The sequence below is a fragment of the Homo sapiens genome, chromosome 11 (genome assembly GCF_000001405.40).
Source record: "Homo sapiens chromosome 11, GRCh38.p14 Primary Assembly".
Taxonomy (NCBI): Eukaryota; Metazoa; Chordata; class Mammalia; order Primates; family Hominidae; genus Homo; species Homo sapiens.
This window is the reverse complement of record NC_000011.10, coordinates 76,200,013-76,216,848: the sequence shown is the minus strand read 5'-3', so window position 1 is coordinate 76,216,848 and position 16,836 is coordinate 76,200,013. Positions and strand designations below refer to the sequence as shown.

The 16,836-nt window shown below is 59.6% G+C and overlaps 1 protein-coding gene and 2 long non-coding RNA genes across 10 annotated transcripts in view, besides 7 other annotated features; 2 read left to right on the top strand and 1 right to left on the bottom strand.

The window, feature by feature from the left end:
• On the top strand, positions 759 to 5,893 carry LINC02761 (long intergenic non-protein coding RNA 2761). Its single transcript, XR_007062785.1, has 3 exons — positions 759 to 862; positions 1,557 to 1,624; positions 5,600 to 5,893. It is a non-coding gene; the product is annotated as a long intergenic non-protein coding RNA 2761 (long non-coding RNA).
• Positions 5,317 to 7,022, bottom strand: LOC112268079 (uncharacterized). The gene is made up of 2 exons (XR_002957259.1): positions 6,930 to 7,022; positions 5,317 to 6,584 (listed from the first exon to the last, which is right to left on the bottom strand). It is a non-coding gene; the product is annotated as an uncharacterized LOC112268079 (long non-coding RNA).
• The window catches only part of WNT11 (Wnt family member 11), a 24,437-nt gene continuing 13,688 nt past the window's right edge, over positions 6,088 to 16,836 (top strand). For 2 of the 8 annotated variants that reach the window (XM_005274231.2, XM_011545238.2), the window contains exons 1-2: positions 6,088 to 6,377; positions 10,351 to 10,524. In XM_005274231.2, coding sequence (XP_005274288.1) covers positions 10,442 to 10,524 — 83 coding nt within the window. In that variant the 5' untranslated portion in view covers positions 6,088 to 6,377; positions 10,351 to 10,441. Of the gene's footprint in view, positions 8,198 to 9,893; positions 9,975 to 10,346; positions 10,525 to 16,836 lie in introns of those variants that run through there. The other 6 variants (XM_047427547.1, XM_011545239.3, XM_047427546.1 and 3 more) reach the window with 4 other exon arrangements.
• Positions 6,173 to 6,342: a silencer, noted in NCBI's record as "silent region_3780". NCBI's record gives its function as "represses an Ori minimal core promoter by ATAC-STARR-seq in GM12878 lymphoblastoid cells {active_cell/tissue: GM12878}" and the evidence as "EXISTENCE:reporter gene assay evidence [ECO:0000049][PMID:35858748]".
• Positions 6,555 to 7,221: an enhancer, noted in NCBI's record as "H3K27ac-H3K4me1 hESC enhancer chr11:75920672-75921338 (GRCh37/hg19 assembly coordinates)". NCBI's record gives its function as "activates a minimal SCP1, AML or CMV promoter by ChIP-STARR-seq in naive H9 embryonic stem cells {active_cell/tissue: H9 hESC(naive)}" and the evidence as "EXISTENCE:reporter gene assay evidence [ECO:0000049][PMID:30033119]".
• Positions 7,222 to 7,888: an enhancer, noted in NCBI's record as "H3K27ac-H3K4me1 hESC enhancer chr11:75920005-75920671 (GRCh37/hg19 assembly coordinates)". NCBI's record gives its function as "activates a minimal SCP1, AML or CMV promoter by ChIP-STARR-seq in primed H9 embryonic stem cells {active_cell/tissue: H9 hESC(primed)}" and the evidence as "EXISTENCE:reporter gene assay evidence [ECO:0000049][PMID:30033119]".
• Positions 7,554 to 7,603: an enhancer, noted in NCBI's record as "active region_5285". NCBI's record gives its function as "activates an Ori minimal core promoter by ATAC-STARR-seq in GM12878 lymphoblastoid cells {active_cell/tissue: GM12878}" and the evidence as "EXISTENCE:reporter gene assay evidence [ECO:0000049][PMID:35858748]".
• Positions 8,995 to 9,214: a silencer, noted in NCBI's record as "silent region_3779". NCBI's record gives its function as "represses an Ori minimal core promoter by ATAC-STARR-seq in GM12878 lymphoblastoid cells {active_cell/tissue: GM12878}" and the evidence as "EXISTENCE:reporter gene assay evidence [ECO:0000049][PMID:35858748]".
• Positions 9,223 to 9,890: an enhancer, noted in NCBI's record as "H3K4me1 hESC enhancer chr11:75918003-75918670 (GRCh37/hg19 assembly coordinates)". NCBI's record gives its function as "activates a minimal SCP1, AML or CMV promoter by ChIP-STARR-seq in naive and primed H9 embryonic stem cells {active_cell/tissue: H9 hESC(naive and primed)}" and the evidence as "EXISTENCE:reporter gene assay evidence [ECO:0000049][PMID:30033119]".
• Positions 10,195 to 10,434: a silencer, noted in NCBI's record as "silent region_3778". NCBI's record gives its function as "represses an Ori minimal core promoter by ATAC-STARR-seq in GM12878 lymphoblastoid cells {active_cell/tissue: GM12878}" and the evidence as "EXISTENCE:reporter gene assay evidence [ECO:0000049][PMID:35858748]".

The window sequence follows — 16,836 nt, the reverse complement described above, 5'->3', positions numbered from 1 at the left end:
GGCTCGCTCGCGTGGCTGCATTTGACTGATGGGCCAGCCGATACAGCAAGGCCTCTCTCTGCCCCAGCCTGGGCTTCTGACCTTGCAGCTGGGCTGGGCCCCAACAGGGTGAAGGCAGAAGCTGCAAGGCCCCGAGTCCTGGGCAGCAGAACACAGGCTACATCTACTAGTCAAGCAAGCCATGAGGTCAGCCCAGATGGAGGGGTGGGGACAGAGCCTTCGCTTTTGCATGGAGTCACATTCCAAAGAGTCTTTATGTTCTGGGATGGGAGGAATTGGTGCTACTAAAAAGCTGCCTCACTGGCCTGCTCAGAAAGGCTTCAGAACCAGTGACAAATAACTGCATGGCTTATGCCTGGATGTCAGGAGACCTGATATCTGTCTCCTGCACCACTAACCGAGTGATGTGCGACCCCTCTCTCGGCGTCAGTTTCTCTATGTGTACAGTCGGGGCACTGAGCATGGTAGGTCTCTGGCCCTGTGTGTGCGTGTGATGGGGTGAAACTCAGACAATGCCGCCTCTCTTCTCCCAGGTGCAGAGACGCTGATTTGTACACATATCAGAGAAGCAGAGGCCCAACCATAAAAGAAACTGCCATCCTGACACAAATGCCCCTGTGGCCCACTGCTTCCTATGCCTCCTCTTCTGGTGACAGGCACTGCACCCAGCCATGCCCAGAGCCAGTTTCCCGTGGCAATAACAGATGTCCATCAGAGGGAGAGTGCGTGACTCAAACAAGGCCAATCAGCCGCCTTCCCTGGGACTGATTCAGAGGCCCAAGGAGACAGAGGTCTCATTTGACTGGAATTTCTAACTGGGGCTGTTGGTGGCTGCATCCCAATGGGGAGAAATGAGGCCCGGGTGAGTTCAAAGAGAGGAGGAAGAAGGAGAAGTGAGTTTGAGACAGCACAGCATCTCCAGGGGACCAGCACCAGCCCTGAGCCCTCCTGAGTGCAGTAGGGCCACCAGCCACCCCAGTTTCTCCTGCAGGAACCAGTTTCTCTGGTGTTGAAGCTGGTTGGGGTTGGGTTTCTTCTCTCCTGGAGCTGAAAGAGGCCTGAGAAACACACACATTGTCTCCTGAGCAGCCACCACCATGATTAAACAACTGAGAGTTGAAAGCAGGCTTTCAGATGTGACGCCCTCAGTAGACATGACGGGTGGCATTTTGTTATGTGCACCCAGGAAAGACACCTCCCATCTCTCCGTGGTGCCCCCAGGCCTGCTCCCTGAGCCCTGTAAAATAACAATACCTCCCCTGAGGTAACTGAAGGGGAGGAGGAAGACATACCCTACCCTGGGCAGTGGGCAGAGGTTCCAGAAACCCACAGACCCGGGGTTTGCAGCCAGGCCCACTCACTGACAGAGAGATCTTGTATGAATTACCTGACAGACCTGGCCCAGTGTGCTTATCTGCAGAGCAATGCCTGTCTCAGGCATAGGCACAGAAACTGCCTAGCACACAGTAGGTGCTTGTTCAACCAATATGACTTCTTACAACATTATTTCTCAATAACATCGAGAAGGAGTGGTTTCGTGGCTTTCTGTTTTGCAGATGATGAAACTAAGGATCCCAGAGGCTGAGTGACTTCCCCGGAGTCCCTCGGTGGGTAAGTGGAGGAGGTGAGTCTGACAGCCAGGCCCAGGTGCTCTGATGACAGGCCTGCTGCTATTTTGTCCCCTTACCCCACCCTTGCCTGGAAGATCTGGCCTCACAGGGCATGCCAGAAACAGCTGGGCTGGGTTCCTCTGCTCAGACCCCCTGTTCATGTGTCTTCTCAGAAAGGCCTTTCTAAAAGCACCCTGGTGGTGGAAGCAGTACGCTTTAGTCTCATTGTAACCAATGAGAAATGGGAAATGGTGATGACGGCCTCTGCCCTGCCCTGCCCTCCCTCGAGATGTGTCCAGGACCAGGATGAGGGATCTCAAAAAATGGTTCTGGCCGGTGCAGTGCCTCATGCCTGTAATCCCAGCACTTTGAGAGGTCAAGGTGGGTGGATCACCTGAGGTCAGGAGTTTGAGACCAGCCTGGCCAACATGGTGAAACCCCTGTCTCTACTAAAAATACAAAAATTAGCCGGGTGTGGTGGTGGGCACCTGTAGTCCCAGCTACTTGGAAGGCTGAAGCATGAGAATCGCTTGAACCCAAAAGGTGGAGGTTGCAGTGAGCTGAGACTGCACCATTGCACTCCAGCCTGGGCAACAAGAGCGAAACTCTGTCTCAAAACAAAACAAAACAAAACAAAAATGGTTCTGGGAAGCCAGCATCTGCCAGGTGGCCTGGGGTCGGGAGAGGGAGAGTACCTGTGGTCTTCCTTCATTCACATTCATGGCTCGTCCTATGGCACAGGCTGGTTTGGTGGTGAGAAGAGCATGGCCCAGGGAGTGCTGGTTCCAGGCTAGAAAGAGTCATCTATGGAGCAGGTCCAAACCCAACCAGGAGCCTGGGACCCATGAGTCCAGCCCATGCCAGCTGCCCCCAGCCAACCCGCAGACATGGGAGGGAGAGGCGTGTGCTTGTGGATGATGCCACAGAGACTGTACACAGCAAAAGTGGAGCAAAACACTGTCGCTTTTTTTTTTTTTTTTTTTTTGAGATGAGTCTTGCTCTGTCACCCAGACTAGAGTGCAGTGGTACCATCTTGGCTCACTGCAACCTCTGCTACCCAGGTTCAAGCGATTCTCCTGCTTCAGCCTCCCAAGCAGCTGGGATTACAGGTGCCTGCCACCACACCTGGCTAATTTTTGTATTTTTAGTAGAGATGGGGTTTCGCCATGTTGGCCAGGCTGGTCTTGAACTCCTGACCTCAAGTGATCCACCCACCTCGTCCTCTCAAAGTGCTGGGATTACAGGCGTGAGCCACCACACCTAGCTGTCACTCTCTTTTGAGTCCCTTGGTGAAGCGATAGCGGTGAGCTGAGCGGTGCCCCACCACATCCCCCCTTCACACACCACAAAGTCGTGGCCCAGGGTGCGTGATCTTGACCCTTCTCCTTACTGGCTGCTTTTGGCTTTCTCTGGAAAAGCCTTTGTTGTTGTGGGAGGGATAAAGTGCTGAGGTCTGAGTAGGGGTAGTGGGCTTAGGGAAGACAGAGAAGGCATTGGGGGGGACATCTGGGGTTGTGGTCACACAGCATTCTTGGGTCAGGAGCCCCAAGATGTGTGGGTTCTAGAGCTGAAAAGGCCCTTAGAGGTTCAACCCTTCACTTATAGATGGGCGACTGGGGCTCAGACAAAGCAAAAAAACTACCTGCCATCACACAGCAAACTAGTGACGGGGCTCAGGACTGCAACCAGTTTTCCTGCACCCCCATCTGGTGCCCCTGCAAACAGGTGACTGCCCCCCACCATCTCCACCAAGGTTTTGGCCTCAAGGGAAGGAAGCTGAAGTGGGCAGAGGGCTCCCTCAAGGTCAGCAAGGCGAACGGAACTTTGTCCGCCCTTACCTCCATGTCCTTTCAGCCTGGGTGCCTCCCTGGGCAGGGTGGGTACAGGACGGGGGTGGGGGGAAAGGGGTGTGCCCCTGGCCAATGGCAGTCAGGCAGGGGCTGAGAAGCCAGCTGACAGGAAGCCCCCAGCATGTCTGGGTGATCAGATCACCAGAATCGCCTGGGCTGATTGAGAAGAAAGATATATTCACATCCACGTCCACAGCAGCAGCAGCCAGGGGCATGGGGCCTCATCCCCTCTGAAGAGGAGCCTGCAGCCCAGGTGGCCAGCACAAGCCAGATACACAGTGGCCCTTGAGGAGGACTGGACAGAGGGAAGTAGAAGGGACGGCAAGGGGGTAGGTCAGTTGGTTCTAAAGATGAAAACAAAATTCTTCTCAATTACTGCCTATTATGCAAATGGAGAGACTTGGGTGCAGGGAGGGGCAGACCCTCACCCCAAGTCTCCCTTGATTTTCAATGCAAGCTTTTGGCAACACTTTCTCATAGCCCTTCCCCCTACTCCCCTCCCCAGGCAGGTTTCCAGCCCTAGCTGATGCCTGGGTCCTGATCCACAGGACACAGCTGAGTAGCTGGCAGGTGGCAGGAGGGGGCAGGGCTGAGCTTCAGGAGTATGGGATGTTCTGCTGGTTTCCTTCAACTCCCCACAAGACAATGGAAAGTCACTATCCTTCCCCCATGTGTTCACTGGGAGCCACCAGCCATAGTGGAGTCTGAGCCAGAGATCTGGGTTCATATATCAGCTCCCTTTTGAGCCTCAGCTTCCACATCTGTGAAATGGGAATACTAATCCTGATCTTGGAGAAGTAGAGGATTCCATGGGATTGTATTATTCCCATTTTGTGGGTGAGAAAACTAAGTCTTGGGGAATTTAAGCAACTTGCTCAAGATTACACAGCTAAAAATAAAATTGGGCAAAATCTGTATTGGAATCCAAGTTTACATGACTCCAAATTCTTCCATTTCTACTCTAGCCGGGAGCCAGAGGGGATTTCTGGCAGGACTGCTGCAAATGTTTGGAGGCAACTGACTGAGCCTCTTAAACGGGCAGAGGGTGCGCATCCCAATCAGACAGAGACCACCTGGAATGGCTCTGACTGAAGTGGCCGGGGGGCCTGGGGCAGGGGAGCTGAAGACATTCTTGGGCCCCCGGAGGCCTTTGCTCTCTGCCTCTTAGGTGGAATAGCCCCCGCCTTCCCTTCCTCAATGCCCCAAGCCCACTGTCTTTCCACTGCTTTTTTGATCAGATTGCCCCAGTGTTCTGGCATGAGAGATGGGGGTGTCCCAGCGTATGTTCCAAAGGATATCCCTGTGATTGTGTGCAGAAGTACATGTTAGGCATTGTACACTTGGGAGCTGTGTGTGCATGGAAGCTCACGCATGTTTGCACCTGAACTGTGTGCGCGCAGGTGGTCTGTGTGCAGCCTCCCCTTCATGATGTGTGTACGGCCATTTCACACCTCTGTGCTACTGTGTGTGAGGGCAGATGATATGTCCTGGTATCTCCCGAGTGTGTTTGTAACCATATGCGGGGTGATATGCCCCAGCCTGTGTGTGAGGACTGGCTGTGTGGGAGTACTGGTATGGCTGGGAGGCTGCTATGGGCACTGTGGGCCCAGATGTTTGTGTTGTATGTGGAGGTACCTGTAGCTGGGTGTGGGGCAGCCTAGGAGTGCCACTTCATCTGCAGCTGCAAAGAATGGGGAAAAGAATGTCAGGCATTTTGGGGGACCTGAGACAGGCTCCGTGTCCTCACTAAGTCTCCATTTCCCTTTCTGCTAATGAACCAGTTATCCTTGAGGACGTCCTGGGATTGAGGCCCCTAGAAGGAGGGGGAGACATGGATGAACCCACAGCACCCGATGGGCAGTTAGAAATCGCAGTCATGTTGTGGGGTAAGCAGCTGGTCTGCTCAGGGGAGGCCAAGTGAGGGGGTCCAGAAGCACCACACGCCTGGGCTACTCGACGCAGGAGGTGCCTCTCTAGGCTCCTTTAACTTAGGAAACCCAGTCCTCCTCTGCTCCCCCTCCCCTGTGTCCAGAACACTCCCCAGCAGTCACCCCAACGGCTGGGACGCCGCCCAGCTCCACACCTAAGGTTTACAGCGGGCTTTGTAGCGCGGAGTCCTCGTGTCTCTTTCTCTTGCAGGATCGTTGATTCCTTTTCCACAACTGGAACCAGAGGCCAGAAGAGATGGCCCCCCGAAGGACCAGGACTAGGACACGAAGGCAGGTTTCGGGACCTCAGACGTCTACAGTAACCACGCTGCGCGACCAACACCTAAGGATGCCCCGGCTCCAGACTGAGACCCAAGTCTGACTTCCCCCTGCCAGTTGAGGCTCCTTGCCTGGTTGCTGCGACGATTCGAGATGGGCCTTACCCGGGCCCCACGCGTGTCGCAGGCACGCAGCACGCACGCTTAGTAAACACCAGCTGTAGTGAGCGAGTCCCCCTTTGTAACTCGACAGAGTACTAAGTTCTCTGGAGCGGCGGGCGCCGCCGGTCAGTGGCGTCCGCGGGGACCCCGCCCCCGCCCCCCGCGCGCGGCCGGGGCCACCCGGTGGGGTTGCGACGCGCTGACGTGGGCGGATCAAAGCGGCCGCCCGCCTTATAAAGCAGTTTGGGAGGCTCGCGCCGGAGATCGCGCCAGGCGAGGAGGAGAGCTCGGGCGAGCGGCGAGCACAGGCCACGGGAGCTGAGCGCAGCAGAGAGCAGCCGGAGTCCGCGCCTGACTCCGCGCGGGTCCTGAGCCGGCCGCAGCTTGCCAGGATCCCCGGCGTCCTTCTCGCGCCGCTTCACGAAGAGGGCGCCTTCGCCGCTCGCCCAGCCGGAGTGCGCACGGGCCCGCTGGAAACCGCACTCGCCGCTCCCTGGGCAGGCCGGGGCACCCGGGCACGCAGGGCGCGCCTGGCGAGCGCCCCGGGAGGTGAGCAGTGGTCGCGGGCAGCGGGCAGCCGCTCAGCGGGGACCCGCCAGGGCTGGGGGCGCCCGAGTCCGAGGGGGACGACGCTTCTCGCACCCGCCACGACCCCCTTGGGCACCCACTCCCGGGTAAGCAAACCAAGCGCTCCTCCATACCTTTCCCCCGCAGCACTCCGAAGAGTTCCCCTTTGCGGAGCGAAGCCTCGGGAGCCTGGGGACGCGGGGTTTAGGGGCACGCGGGACGGTGGTGGGTTGTGCAGTTCCTGCGGCCCTCCTCGAACTTTCCCGGCCCGGCCCCCCTCTTCTGCCCCCGCACCCCAGGCGACCCCCTCCTTCCCAGTCGTTCGGCGGATGAGGTCATGCCCGAGCCACCCCCGGGGGTGGGGGACTTGGATCCCGCGACAGAGGGTGTGTGTGGTGGGCGGGGGGAAAGGGTGGCAAAAGGCAAAGAAATGCGGCAGCGCCTAGTAAATTGGGGATGGGGGCAGAAGCCTGGCTTTGAGAACGGGTCCCAGGGGCGGCGGGGGGAGGGGGAGAACCGAGTTTGTTTACTGACCTGAGCTCCAGGCTGGGGGCTAGGGAGGAGGAAAGTCCTGTCCCCGGCCCCGAGGCACATCTGCAACCGCCCGGAACATCTGGCTGAGCTCGCGCACGAGCTCCACGCCTCCCACCCCCGGGGCTGAAGTGCCTCGGTGTCCCTCAAGGCCCTGGGCGTGCAGGGTCCGGCTCCAGGGGGTTAGCAGGAGGGATCTCGAGTGCTCCCACCCACCCTTCCCACTTCCAAAACAACCCGTCTCCCGGGTGACCCGGCGCCGCGTGCGCAGCCAAGCAGACGTCTCTCGAAAGCCTCACGGCTGGGGTCAAAGCCGGGTGGCAGGCCCGGCCTCGCCCCGCCCCGCAGGTAACCTTGAAGCCGTCGCTCGGCGTCCCTGGTTGGCGGGGTCAGCTCCGTGAGCTGCGTGGCGGGAGGCTTCGGGACCCGCCCGTGCCGACCTTGCGCGCCGCGCGGACAATCGGCCCCGGTGCACGGTGCCCGTGGGGCGTCGGGGTAGGGGGGACCCCGCAAGTCCTCGCCGGGCCGGCGTGGCCTGGTCCCAGCGGCCGGCTTTCCAGAGTCCTCCACAGACCGGGCCTATGACCATCTGTTGGCGGCGCTGGGCTGCGGCGCTGCGCTCGTGGTGTTCTCCCTGTGCACAGCCCCAGGCGGCCGCCTCCCGGGCCCGCTGCAGGCAGGGTAGCTCGGACCAACTTCGAGGAGGTGACCGCTCGCTCTCCAAAGGTGCTACGCCTGGCGCGGCCCACTACGCGCCCGGCCCCAAGCAAGGGGCCGGGCAGGTCAGGGCGGCCCACGGCAAGTGTCCTATAGAACGACCAGGACACAGGGGGCACTCCCTCGACACGTCGTCCCATCCCCAGACGGAGAAGCGGGGGCCCAGGAAGAGGACTTGACCCCAGCCCGCGACGCAGGAGGCAGCCGCGATTCCCCCCTCCTCGAGCCCCGGCTTAGCGCCCCCTGGCGGGCTGGGGGCTTCAGGAGGCGCGTGCACCCTGACCCGCGAGCTCAGGCGGAAGGTGACCCCGTGGCCTGCGCGGCTGTCCCGGGCGCTCGTACAAGGGACAGGAACAGTCCGTCAGGACCCAGAGGCTCGGGCCAGGCGCTGCCTCCCCGCGCGACGAGCTTGGGCGGCGGAGGGAGAGCCTTGGGACAGCCGGGGCTGCACCGAAAGAGCTGGGCGGGGCTGGAGGCCTGGGTCCCCGTCCGCTGTGCGACCTAGGGGGCTCCTCCTCTCCCTGGGAGACCAGGCTGGACACAGATCCCCCGCTGTGAGTCCGCGCGCCTCCGTCCTCTTGCAGCCCCCGCCCCCTCCCCACCCAGGAATGCCGGGTGCCTTCGGGGGGCGGCGCACTTTGGGAGAGGGGAAGACGGTGACTGGAGTTTTGATTCCCCCCTCCATATCCAGCGGATATTTTTCTCGTTCTGAGAAGTGCAAGAAACTTGCAGGACCAGGAAGACAAAGGATTTGGATACAGGCTGGGTGGGAGGACGGGACTGGGTTACACCGAGAACCCCTCTGAGACCCCCAGCCTTGACGGCATGTTTGTCGCAGGCGCCCCTGTGCTGGGCGCTAGCTGCGGGGCTCTGCGGAGGAAAAAAACTGTACGATCCAGGCTTCTCCTCGCCTTCCTGTGGGTTTTGCCGACAGGCTCCAGAAAACAGTGGGGCTTCCCATCTCTGCGTGCTGACTACCCACGCGCAGGAACGCGCCACGCAGGTGGCGTCGCGGTGCAAATAGCAGAGGGGCGCTGAGCCCCGCAGGCTGCAGGGAGACGGGGTCCTCGGGGGACGCACGGCGAAGCCCCATTCCTCGTTCTTATGGAAGGGGACACCGAGGCTGGGGTGGCTGAGGGCTTGCCCAAGCTCACAGAGCCAGATAAGAACGTCCCTTTTCTGCTCCAGCGCCCCCACTACCGTGGGCGCCTCCTTTTCCAACTCCCCAAACCCTTAGAAAGGAATCCCTTTGTCTCTGCTCCTCCCGAGGGGAGAGGGGCTGGGGCTGTGTCTGACTCCGGGCGAACGCCAGGTGTTGGTAAATTTGGGAGAAGCTGGGAAGGGAGTTAATGAGGTGAGAATGAAGTGAAGGAGAAAAAAAGCGGAGATAGCTGCTCCGCGGGCTGCGGGCGGGCGGGGCAGCCTCTCCTCCGCGGCCCGAGGGCGCCGCCTGGAGGCCAGAGGCAACACCGCGCCAGCCCCGCGAGCTTCCCCGCTTCGCTAAGGCGGGGCTGCCCAGTCCCAGCCCGCATGCTTCCACTCCCACCCTCCAAAGTGGAGCGGCTAAAGACGGACTTGGAGACTCGGAATCCTCACTGTACAAAGAGCCCTACCATCCCGTTTCCCATCCTCCCCTTCCCACACCGAGAAAGCAGGGCCCCGAGCAAGCCCCATTTCCTGATTTCGCCGGACACCCGGCTTGCCGCTCCCTAGCTGAACCCCACCTCTGTGCCTCAGTTTCCTCATCTGTGAGATGAGGCAGCGATAGTGCCTATCTCACGGGGTGCTGGGAGGAGCAGATGCGATCGTGTTAGGGAACTTTTTTTGTTTGTCTGTTTGTTTGAGACGGAGTTTCGCTCTTGTCGCCCAGGCTAGAGTGCAGTGGCGCAATCTCCGCTCGCTGCAACCTCCGCCTCCCGGGTTCAAGCGGTTCTCCTGCCTCAGCCTCCCGAGTAGCTGGGATTACAGGCGCCCGCCACCACGCCCGGCTAATTTTTTGTATTCGTAGTAGAGACGGGGTTTTGCCATGTTGGGCAGGCTGGTCTCGAGCTCCTGACCTCAGGTGACCCGCCCGCCTCGACCTCCCAAAGTGCTGGGATTACAGGCGTGAGCCACCCTGCCCGGCCAGGGAACGTTCTTTATAAAAGCGGAATTGTGCCCGAATTGCCCCAGCTTACTGAGGAGGTAAACTGAAACACGTTTGGGAAGGAGAATTGCCGAGGCCCTATTAACTAATGCTCAATATTGCAGGGATAAGCCCCAGCTCCGGGTCCTCGACTCTGCTGCCTCGCCTGGACTCCTGATTCCTCATTCCTCTCCTTTCCGTCCCAGGTTGCGTCTGTCCGGGTTTCCCCCTCTGTCTCCGTGGCTCTCAGCCTTGTCCTCTGAGCGTCCTTCTCCCTCTCGCTGTGTCTGCCCGGTCTCTCCTGGGTCTCCGGTTCTGCCGCCTCCTGTCCCTCCTTCCGGCTGCCCCGGCCAGAGGGGCTCGAAGGCGCGTTGGGGCCCGGGGCCACGCTGGGAGACACGCCTTCGGCCGCGCCTAATTCGAGCCAGGCGCGGGACGCGTCCCCCGGCCGGGCGGAGCGGGAGGGGACGCCCGCCGCGCTCGGCCTCCCCGGGCCCCGACCCCTCCTTTGTAATTTGAATAAAACGCCTCCCCCGCCCGCGCGCCGCCTTAACCCGCCGCCTCCGCTCTCCCCGGCTGCAGGCGGCGTGCAGGACCAGCGGCGGCCGTGCAGGCGGAGGACTTCGGCGCGGCTCCTCCTGGGTGTGACCCCGGGCGCGCCCGCCGCGCGACGATGAGGGCGCGGCCGCAGGTCTGCGAGGCGCTGCTCTTCGCCCTGGCGCTCCAGACCGGCGTGTGCTATGGCATCAAGTGGCTGTGAGTAGGGACCCCGCGTCCACGCGCACAGGCCAGGGACTGGGGCGGCGGAGGGCGTTTTGGGGTCCCCTGGATGGGGCGAGCGCACCAAGACCCGGGAGCCTAAGCTGGCTTGGCGGTCGTGGGCAAGTCATCCCTCAGCCTCTGTTTCCTCCTCTGTAAAATGTCCCTGCCTCCCGCAGGCTTGCGAAAAGGGAGTGAGACGGGCGTGGACCACAATGGAAGCGCCTGGTCCTGTGCAGCTGACGGTGGCGCAAGGGCCACGGAGTTTCTGGCCACCTCCGCAGGGGCAGATGGAAAAAGACATTCTGTTCAGGGGGCGCAATCCAGAGCGGCCAGCCCAGGAGCGGTCCTTGTCCGTCAGTCTCCTTGACCCTAGCGGGAGTTCCGCTGAGACACTCCTGACCCCTCCACCTGGGCGACCTTGGGAAAGTGTCACTCTACTTCTTGGGGCCTCCTTGTCCTCCTCTGTCACGGGAGGGTGAGACTCCCCACCTCCCTCAAATCAGATGAGAAGAGGCTCCTGAAAGGACCTCAGAAGCTGTCAGATGCCACTGTGCACATGTGCAGGGCATTCCTTTAGATAGAAATTATTCACGCAGGGGTAGGAGGGAGAGAGAGGCTTGGTGCCGAGCTGAAGGGAGTGCCTGCTCAGGGGGCTGGGGGTGGTGAAGAGAGGAGTAAACACCAGCCCCTTCCCGGAGGAGCTGCGCTCTAAGTTGAGAGAGATAAGCCCAGGCTGTAAATAACTCCACAAGTGTCCAAGTGCCCGAGGAGAAACCAGAGCGGGAATCTGGAGGCCTAGAGGAAGGAAGCCCACCTGGTGGGGACACAGATGTGAGACACCGGGAAGCTTTTCCGAGGCTGTGCCTCTGGTGACTGAAGCGCTGCTGGGAGTTGGCTGGTTCGGGCAATGGAGAGGACGCTGTGGGCAGAGGGGCTCCCTGAGAGGGAAAGTCCAGGACAGGACAAGGGTCTGGAATCTGGGGCCAGGGCAGGGAGCCTGCAGATAAGACAGCAGGGGGCAGGTTGTGGGGGCTGGGGAGGGCGCTGCAAAGGGTTTGTGAATTAGTTGGAAGACAGGGTGATAGTGGCTGCGCCGCCAGCAAACAGTCTGGAGGTCACTGGCCCTGCCCCTTCTCAGGCCAAGTTATTGATTAATTGACGATTCGAGGAGGGAACCCCGTCTTCCTGCCTTTCTTGTTTACAAGAAGCCTGGTCTCAGCAATCTCCCAGCCCTGGGCACTAGCTTTTCCCAGCTGTCCCTGAGGAGTTCTGTGAGAAACCAGCCACCTTCCTTTTGCAATGGGGTACCCAGCACTGTTCCAGCTGGCAGGGACCTCCGATCAGCGAGTCCAAGCTCTCTCATCCACCGCCACCATTTTACAGATAAGGATACTAAGGTCCAGGGAAGGAGAGGATTGGCTGAAGGAGCGTCAGAGGCCTTGCAGTGGGCTTGGGTGTCATTTGCCGCCCATAAGAGTCCTGTGGGGTCACTGCCATCATCCCTGCTCCACAGTGGGAACACCGAGACCCTGCAAAGGGCATGATGCACGCAAGCCCCCACGCTGGCCTGTGGTGGGATGGACGGCTGGCTAAACCTGACGTCCATGTCCTCTGTCCCCACTGCAAAGTCAGGCTGCCACAGAAATGGGTACAACTCATTGTGTGCCTTAAATAAGCCCCCAGGCTCTTGGGGGAGATGGACATATAGAAATACAAAGTGGACTATGGTCTGTGTCCTAGCAGAGGGAGCATGGCAGCCCAGAGGAGGAGTGATCAGTTCTATCTAAGGGAGATGCATAGGCCAGGATTGGAAGGACAGGGAGGATTTGGATGGTCAGAGACGGAGTGCAAAGCAGGCGTCCTAGGCGGGAGGCACAGCACGAGCAGAAGCCTGGAGGCCGAACAGCGCATGCGGGGAGACCTGGAGAAACCAGGCACCACAAGAGCCTACTCCTAAGTGCCCCAGACGCTGCTCCGAGAGCTTGGGTCATGTAAGTTAGATCATACTGCACTCCTATGAGAAACTGATAGTCTAGCAATAGGGGATTAAAGTCTTGCTAGAGTTTAAGATAGAGGGGGAGGTGGGAAAAGGGGTGGAGTTTAAGAATAACAACGATCTGTGTATGCATGTGTATATATAGATACACGTGTGTAGGCCACGTGCATATATCTATGTATATGTACATATATGTCTACACACACATGGCCTCACTTTGTGCTAGGTGCCGTTCTAAGTGCCTTATGTATATTGTTCCATTTAAATATCCCAACCACCCTGTGAGGTGGGTGCTGCTATTACCCCCGTTGCACAGAAGAGGAAACAGAGACTGGGGCACACAGAGATGGGGGACTCTACCTAGCAGGGTGTCACAGCTCAGAGGTAGTAGAGGCAGGATTTGAGTTAAGCTGCCTAGCTCTGTGGACTGTTGGGCACAGGGAGCCCCAGCACAGCTGGGAGCAGGGAAGTGTTCAGTGAGGCTGGAAAGCCGGGGACTCACCCAGGAGCCTCCGCTGGCCTGGGCTTTGGAGAGTGAGCTGGAGATGAAAGGGGCACTTGGCACAGGAACTGAAAGCCAACATGGCCCAGTGGCCTGGAATGCTCACCTGGTGGGTGCCTGGGACGCAGGCTGAGCTGGTGGGATGGGGGCTGGGGAGAGGGGATCAGAACCTGGCTGCCCATAGAGGCACCTGCCCAGAAATAACCTGGGGATCCTTCCCTACCTTACCTCCACCCAGGCCAGGCACCAGAAGACTCCCAGCCCCTCAAGTATTCGGGGTCCCAGGTCTGGGCTGTCCACCCCCTTCTTGGCTTTCCTGGGTAGGGGGAGGGTTTGAGGGGAGTCCCACTCTCCTGTGAACCACGGAAGCGGTGGGGTGAGAGGAAAGGCCCAGGCCGGTTGGGAACATCCATAAAGGCCGCCCCCTTCCCTGGGCAGTCCCACACCTGCCACTCCCACGGAGGTGGGGCCAGGAGGCTCTAGAGGGCCATGGCGCTGCAGAGTAGGGTGGAAGGAGCGCCAGACTGGGACTGCAAGGCCCAGCCTGAGTTCTGCAGGTCAATCGCTTTAGCTTCTCTGAGCCTCAGTTTCCTCAGCTCTAAGATAGAGGTAGAAGGAGCCCTACCTCAGGATGCAGGAGGCCTGGGGTCTAGCTTGTCTCTGCCTCTGATTGGCTGCGTACAGATCTGGGCAAGCCCTGCCCTTTCCGGGCCTCAGTTTCCCCACTTGCACAGTGGGAGTTCATGATGCTGTGGCAGCTGCCGTTTGGTTTCTTGGTTGAGAAGCATCAGACCAAGGCCTGTTAGGGCTTTACCTTTGCAAGATGGGCTGCACAGGTGGGTCAGCATGTGTGAGGCCAAGGGGACAGGCTTCCATCTCTGAGGTCTGGGCAGTCAGGTGTGAAGGGGACCCAGTGTCATTTCCAGGCAGGACTGGATCTGCAGGCTCAAGGCCCTTCATCAGCCTCCATTTCTCTATCTATACAGTGAGGACAAGGGCTGGACTAGTCCCTCTTCACTCTGGAGTCCTGGGACAAAGCCCAGGAGGGAGAGAACAGGAGGACTCTCAGGCTGTGGGGCCCCAGGGGCTTCTTCTTCCTGAACGGGCAGCTGCAGCCCCAAGCTGGGATGGCTGGTGAAGAAGGGGCACTTCCGAGGTTCCTAGACCTCTCCCCGGTTCCTAGACCTGGTGCCTAATTGAAGAGTTAATTGAGGAGTCGTGGAGGGAGAGCTTCCCCAAGGTTGCCCCAGGGGAGTAGACGGAAGCCTGGGGAGAGGCTGGGCTTGCCTGGGTGGCCTAGAGCCTGGGGTCCTGCTCCATCCTCCCTGCCACATGGGCACCAGCATGAGGTGGGGCCCAGGAAAGCCCAAAGAGACACGGGGAAAGGAGGGACAAAGGTCTGGTTGGGAGAACAGGATCTCCTCGACTCAATTGTTCTCCCACCTCAGGGTCAGCAGGGTCCACAGATGCAGAAGCATGGGGATTCCAGGGCAAGACTGAGTCCCTAAGCCAGCCCGCAGCCCTCATCAGCATCCTCCTCATCCCAGAAGCACAGATGTGGGCATCAGGGTCTCTCTCATCGCCATCTGTTGACCTCACCCCATCTCTCTCCCTGGGTGGGCAGCTGCCAGGCTACATTCTGGGTGGCGCTGATGGGGGCACCTTCTGAGGCCCTCTGAGCCCAGCTCTGCCGAAGCCTCACCTGGAAATGGTCTGGCAATACCACTCAGCACCGTGGGCGGCCGAGCTGCAGAACTGCAGAGAGGGAACTTGGGGCCCAGGTCACTTAAAGGAGCCTGAACCTGGCTGCCAGGTCTCTGGCCTAGAATTCATCATGTGACCTGACCCCTGTGCCTAGAGGGAGAGGGATGCTGTGAAGTGCAGGTCCAGGAAGGAAGCCCTTCTTTGAAGGTGCCTTACACAGGCGGGTCCCCTAGAGCGGCCTGAGGGTAGGGTTGCTGGCGCCACCAGGAAAATACCTCAGTGAAGTCATTTGGCAGCTTGTGTTACCAATGTCAAAGCCTGCATTGTTCTTAAGCATTGAGCAGTATGGATGGGGAAATTGAGGTGGAGCAAGGGGCAGTGACTTGCCCAAGGTCTCACAGGGAGAGAGCTGCTGAGCCAGAGCTTGAACCCAGGTCTCTGCCCCAGCCAGTCCCAGCAAGGCCCCCAACTCCTGAATGAGAGGAGGCCTTGCCACCCCGGTAGGGCCCTGAGCTCGGGCCTCGCCTGTGAACTCTGCATTCCCTCCTGTCCTTTCTTCCACCCTCTCCCCCAGGCCCCCACCCCCAGATAAACCGAAATGTTTCCAATTAGGGGTCTGTTGGAGTGAAGCGAGCAAGATGTCCACAAGGAGAACTCCCCCACCTCCCATCCTAATCCTTGATTACCTCCCCAAGGGGGATTTATTTGGAAACGGTCATTACCACTAATTACCAGATGACCGCATGGCCCTCCTCGGGAGTGGAATCTGCTGCCTCCCGCCTGTGATCTCTGCCTGCAGCCCCTGTGGGCGGGTGGCCTCCCTAGTACGCATGGCAGCCTGCTCCTGTCCCAGCGTCAGCCTCCAAGGCGGGCCCCTGGGCCTTCACACTGCTCTGGGCCCACCAGGGCCTCTGGATCTGTTTCTCATTTACCCTTGGGCCGCCTGGGGAGTCTGAGCCTCGTCTGGAAGGTGCTCTGACAGCACCTTCTCCCTGAGCCTTCTGGGGAGGATGGAAAGACTGAGACCCAGGGTAGCTCCAGGGCTCACCCCAGGGTCCCAGCCTAGGAGACCCAGGCACCAGGAGCACCAGGCTCCCTTCCTTTAGAGCTGCAGCACCCAGCACTCACAAGCTGTCTGCACTGAGCTCCCCAGGAAGAGGCTCAGCCCCCATCGTCCCACCCCGTGGCTTGAGCCGGAGCCCAGGGAAAGACACAGGAGGCTGCCTTCACTGCCTGAACGCCCACCATGTGCCATGAGCCTGCTGCTAGGCCATGCGCTGATGTGCTGTCGCCCACGTTGTCCTTCTCATTTGAAAATGGAGGAAGCTGGCTCAGAAGGAGCGGGAAGAAAGTTGGGCGAGGGCAAGCGGCAGAGCAGGCTCAGGACGGGCTGGGTGGGGACCGCTCAGAGCAAAGCAGAGTGGGGACCCAGAGAGAAGTGACCCCAGTGCCTGCAGGGACTGACAGCCTCACCAAGAAGGATGACGGGGCCTGCTGGCGGGTGCTGGACAAGCACAGCCCCTAAAGCAGGGCTGATCATCCCCTCCGGGCTGCCCTCTGAGGTGTGAAGTGGGAGGCTCTGTCAACCGGGAAGGGCCATGCCCATATGGAGCTGTTTACCCCATGACGGCACTGCACGCAGGGACAGGGTTTGCTGGGTGGAGGTGGAAGAGCTGTTGACAACCGGGAAACACACTGAGGTGATGACGTTTGCCTCTGTGTGGTCAGAGCCCACCCAGGAAGTAAGGCAGGGTTCAGCAACAGGTTCCCCAAGAAGGTGAGGCCAGGGCAGGCCAGAACAGTTCCATTTAGGTCAAGAAACCGCGTCTGAGGGATGCTGTGTGGCCCACCCTGTGCCGGATGCTGGCATCTAGACACACCAGACATTTCCCGACTCATAGTTTAGGGGGTGGCAGTGAGGGGAGACTGCCCTGGACACCACAGTTGATCTTACACAGGGCGAGTCACGCCGCCCTAACCACAGACACCAGGCCCTGCTTTCTGGGTCTCTGGGAAGGTTTCTATCTTTGGGGGTTATAGGGTGGGTGGGACATGGCAGAGCGTGAGAGGCAGGAGGAAATGAAAGAACCTATTGAGTACTTAC